The 5,207-nt window shown below is 49.4% G+C and overlaps 1 long non-coding RNA gene across 1 annotated transcript; it reads right to left on the bottom strand.

Moving 5' to 3' along the window:
- Positions 1 to 1,275: 1,275 nt before the first annotated feature.
- On the bottom strand, positions 1,276 to 4,168 carry LOC105375418 (uncharacterized). The gene is made up of 3 exons (XR_927790.2): positions 4,091 to 4,168; positions 3,871 to 3,993; positions 1,276 to 1,485 (listed from the first exon to the last, which is right to left on the bottom strand). It is a non-coding gene; the product is annotated as an uncharacterized LOC105375418 (long non-coding RNA).
- Positions 4,169 to 5,207: the final 1,039 nt, after the last annotated feature.

Here is a 5,207-nt window from a genome sequence, read left to right as displayed (position 1 = left end):
TGGAGGTAGCACTGGAGGGATGGTGGTGCAGACCTCAGGCAAATCACTTCATTTCTCTGAGTCTCAGTTTCCTCTTCTATAAAATGCGTATGAAAAGAATGTCTGCCTTATAAGATTGCTGTGAGAGTTGAATGACTTAACATGTGCCATGCTCAGTACAGCACCAGGATGTCAGCAGCCACCATGAGTGTGCTGTGACTATTATTGTGATTTTCAGCTGTGGGAGGCATCAGGACTACTCCCCACCATCCCCACCATCTTCTCTCTGGATCCAGGGATCATTGCACCTCCTTCTTCCCTTGAATCAGGCACAGATGGGTGGATTGTTGGGAAAACACCTAGAGGATTGTCCTGAATAGTCACCCAGACCAGCAACAGAATTTGCATGAACACGAAATAGACATCAACTGAGTGAAAGTCATGAGACTTGGGCATTGTTTGTTACTGCAGCAGAGCATAGCTTAACCTGACTAATATGCTCTTTCAGATCAACTACTCAATAAACTCATAATCAAGATCCACAATCAGGACTGGGTAGCTGCTACAATTGAGAATGAAACTTTGCTCTAAGCCTTTTGCTTAGACTAAAGGTGGGACAAGATGACCTTCTTTTCCCAAGAGGGAGGGTTGAGGACATGTTGAAAGAGAAATGTTGGTTCTAAGCCTCCCAAGATTCACGTCTGTAATCCCAGCACTTTGAAAGGCTGACTTGGGAGAATTTCTTGAGACTGGGGGTTTGAGGCCAGCCTGGGTAACACAGTGAGTCTCTGTCTCTACAAAAAATAATTCAAAAATTAGCCAGGCATGGTAGCATGTGCCTGTAGTCCTAGCTACTGGGGAGGCTAAGGCAGGAGGACTGCTTAAGCCCAGGAATTCAAGGCTGCAGTGAGCCAAGAATGTGCCACTGCACTCCAGCCTGGGTGACAGAATGAGGCACTGTCTCTAAAGAATAATAATAATAATAATAATAATAATAAGCCTCTCAATAGGGCCCTCCTAGGCACACAAAAGACGGCAGCTACAATAGGGGCTGATGCCCAAGACACAAACAGCTGCTGCCAACGGCCAGCCCGGCCAGTGAAGAGCATTGTCCAGGGAGGCTCTTGTGGGTATCCAAACCCAGTGGGCAGATTCTGGTGTCCAGCTCAGGGCAGAGATGGAATTCCTATTCCTGGGAGATGGAGGAACAGGGCTGTGTTGTCTGGGTCAAGGAGCTAGGGGAAGGCAGATGACAGAGGCAAGGGCTCATTGTGCAATTTACTCTCTACACTGAGAAACAGAGATGAGGCAGTTGCTCCTTCTGGGTTTGTAGCATCGTCACTGCGAGGAGTGCAGAGTCTTCATGATGCTATTGGCAGGCTCCAAGAGCAGCCTTGGCAAAAGGCCCTGTAACAAGGGGCCACACGACACGCTGAAACTCCCCTCATGAGCCAGCTCAGACGACGCTCCTGCCTCCTCTTCCCAACCATGATCTCCAGATGAGCACTGAAGGGAAGAAAGGACATCATTGATTACTAATCAGAAGATGAGAGACTGTACCAGCCTTTATCGTGATCTCATCTCTGTTTATTTTTATTTTTATTTTTTTTTGAGATGGAGTTTCGCTCTTGTTGCCCAGGCTAGAGTTCAGTGGCGCCATCTTGGCTCACCGCAACCTCTGCCTCCTTGTTCAAGTGATTCTCCTGCCTAAGCCTCCCGAGTAGCTGGGATTACAGGCATGTACCACAATGCCCGGCTAATTTTATATTTTTAGTAGAGACGGGGGTTTCTCCATGTTGGTCAGGCTGGTCTTGAACTCCCAACCTCAGGTGATCTGCCTGCCTTGGTCTCCCAAGGTGCTGGAATCACAGGTGTGAGGCACCTCACCCAGCCCATATATATTTTTTTAAAAGATAGAGTCTTGCTCTGTTGTTTAGGCTGGAGTGCAGTGGCGCAATCACAGCTCACTGCAGCTTCCAACTCCTGGGCTCAAGCGATCCTCCGGCCTCAGCTTCCTGAATAGCTGGGACCCACAGGGGCACGGCACCACGCGTGCCACCCAGCAGTGGAAGCGCCCAGCACGAGCAGGTGTCAGTATTTCTTTCAATCTCATGACACCCAGTAGCACACTCCACCTTCTCCATTCTACAGATGAGGATGCCAAGACCCAGGGATGCCAAGTCTCTCAACCAAAGTCACATGGGCCATTTTGGAGACTGGAGTGGGGGCTTCCAGATCCAGCCTACTCTCCTTCCAGCAGACAGCTCGTGGGGGTCCAGGCAGATACAGGGCAGCATCCAGTCAGCCTGACACCAGGCTGGACTGCTGGGGAATTCCTATCTCAGTGGCCCAGGGGCTTGGCGGCAGGTTCAGAGAAATGACCACGGCCTCGAAGGGGGTCTCACACAATAGTGTAGGCATGAGTCTGAAACCCCAGTAGCATCCCCAGGGCTCTAAGTGAGACTTAGTCCTGGGGAGGCAAAGGAAAACCAGGAAGACAGAGTTGAGCAGACCCAGCCCAGGCTCCTGAAATCCTCTCTGCAGGGAAATCCTTGGCTCAGGTGCGTGGCAAATCTTCCATGCCTGGCCCTCCTCCCAGGCCTGCCAGCCGAAGGCAGGACCCGTCTCCCCGGGTACCTTGGCATTAAAATATTGTCCACATATGGTGGGAAATTAAAGTCCTCTTTCCTTTTCTTGCTGTTTTAATGACTTAATATGCAACAAAAGGAGAGCTTTTCTCCTGGGAGTTTCCAGCAGATGTTGCTGTTTATCCTGGCTGTGCTTCCCCGTCCAGCTGCCCATCCCAAATCATGCGGATGTTCGAACGGGATGCTCCACATCAGAACACAATTGAGATGCAGCCCAGCCATGCAACAGGGACCATTTGATCCAATCTGGGCCCTTTTGGATGGGGGAGTTCAAGTTTCCATTAAGTATTGCTGATTTTCTCCCAGATTGAAATAATAATGTAATCAACACGGGTGCCAGCTCATGACAGCCCTCTCAGGGACACTTCATCTGGCTGGAGAAAGCTGAAACAGCCCTTCTGGCTTCCACCCTGGTCCCACCTGCAGCCTGTATCCCAGCCTCATCTCTGTTCATATATATATATATATATATATATATATATTTTTTTTTTTTTTTCTTTCTTTTTTTTTTTTTTTTTTGAGATGGAATCTTGCTCTGCTACCCAGGCTAGAGTGCAGTGGCACAATCTCGGCTCACCACAACCTCCATCTCCCGGGTTCATGCTGATTCTTTCGCCTCAGCTTCCGGAGTAGCTGGGATTACAGGTGCCCCCCACCACGCCCGGCTACTTTCTGTATTTTTTTTAGTAGAGACGAGGTTTTGCTATGTTGGCCAGGCCGGTGTTGAACTCTTGACCTCAGGTGATCCACCCAATCTTGCCTCCCAAAGTGCTGGGATTACAGGCATGAGCCACCGTGCCTGGCCTCATATTTTTTTTAAGAGACAGGGTCTTGCTCTGTTGCTGAGGCTGGAGTGCAGTGGCACAATCAGAGCTCACTGCAGCTTCCAACTTCTGGGCTCAAGCAATCATCCCGCCTCGGCTTCCCAAGTAGCTGGGACCACAGGGGCACAGCACCATGCATGGCTAATTTTTAATTTTTTTGTAGAGATGAGGTGGATGACATCTTGCTATGTTGCCCTGGCTGGGTCTTGAACTCCAGGCCTCAAGTGATCCTCCCACCTCTGCCTCCCAAAGCACTGGGATTACAGGCTTGAGCCGCTGCAGCTGGCCCCTCTTTGTATGTTGATATTCTCTGTGACTTCCCTCTACGTTCTTCTCATGTTGCATTAGCAAGTATTTTGCTGCAGAGAGGAAATCTCATCCTATAGCAGCTCAGGGTGAGGGCTCCGAGATGAGCTCACCCAGGTTTCAAATTCCCAGCGACGTTGCATGAATTCCCACATCAATCATGTGTTTCGGATGCGTTGACATCTGGAGGCCTTGCGGACCCTGGAGAGACCACGCCTCCCAGGGCTCCTCAATTCCTAGGGATAGTAAAGGACTGGTCTCTAAGCGTGCCTTTCACATGCAAACCAACCACTCCAGAGCACCCGCCCCACCCCTCCGCTCTGGGACTCTCACACTCTGGGCCACTATTCCTCTGCCCTAATCATTCCAAGGCCCCGCACCAGACAATGATGGGCAGCCCCTAGACTCCAGAGCCCTAGGTTCTGAAATTTTCAGAATAACCAATCCTAAGCCATCTTACTCTGCCTTGCCTGTTCCCTCCAGATGAGGTCACAATAAAGGCTCTTGCTCAACACCCTGGGTGCGATGGCTCATGCCTATAATCCCAGAACTTTGGGAGGCTGAGGCAGGAGGATCACTTGAACCCAGGAGTTCAAGACCAGCCTGGGCAACATAGTGAGACCCCATCTCTACAAAGAATGTGAAAAAATTAGCCAGGCATGGTGGTGCATGCCTGTAGTCCCAGCTACTTGGGAGGCTGAGGCAGGAGGAACACTTGAACCCAGCTGCAGTGAGCTGTGCAGTTCAAGCTGCAGTGAGCTGTGATCACACCACTGCACTCCAGCCTGGGCAACAGAGCAAGATCCTATCTCAAAATAAAATAAAACAAAATAAAGGCTCTTGTTCATGCTTTTCCCCATCTTTCTGCCTCCTGCCCAACCCCAGTTCTTCCCTACATGGCCCTGTGTGGCGTGGCAGGCTGCCTTCCTCTTGGGATCTGTGAGTAACAAACTATTTATACAATGGCAATCTTCTCCTGATTGGTTGGCCTCATCATACTTGAATAATAATAAAACCTATATTTTTAAACAGTTCCTTACCCATCTGGACCTTAATTTCCTCATCTTTACAATGGTAATAAAAAGAGTATTTGCCTCCTAGGGTTGTAACTGGGATCAAATGAGTTAATACCTATAAGTGCAAAGCACACGGTCCCGCACATAGTAAGTGCTTATTAAATGTTAGTGATGTTAATTACAACTGATATAGGCACTGTGGAATTACAGTAGAAAGGGCAGGATTCTAAGGTCAGAGGTTCAGTTCCTGACTCCAACACTCCCTAGCAAGGTGACTGGGTTATTGAACTTTTTTTAAAATTTTAATTGAGACAAGGTCTCACTGTCGACCAGGCTGGAGTGTAGCAGCACCATCTCAGCTCACTAGAACCTCCGCCTCCTGGGTTCAAATGATTCTCCTGCCTCAGCCTGGGTAGCTGGGCTTACAGTAGCTG

This window comes from Homo sapiens, chromosome 7 (genome assembly GCF_000001405.40).
Source record: "Homo sapiens chromosome 7, GRCh38.p14 Primary Assembly".
NCBI lineage: Eukaryota > Metazoa > Chordata > Mammalia > Primates > Hominidae > Homo > Homo sapiens.
Note: the sequence above shows the minus strand (reverse complement) of the source record. Positions and strands in the feature narration are given on the sequence as shown.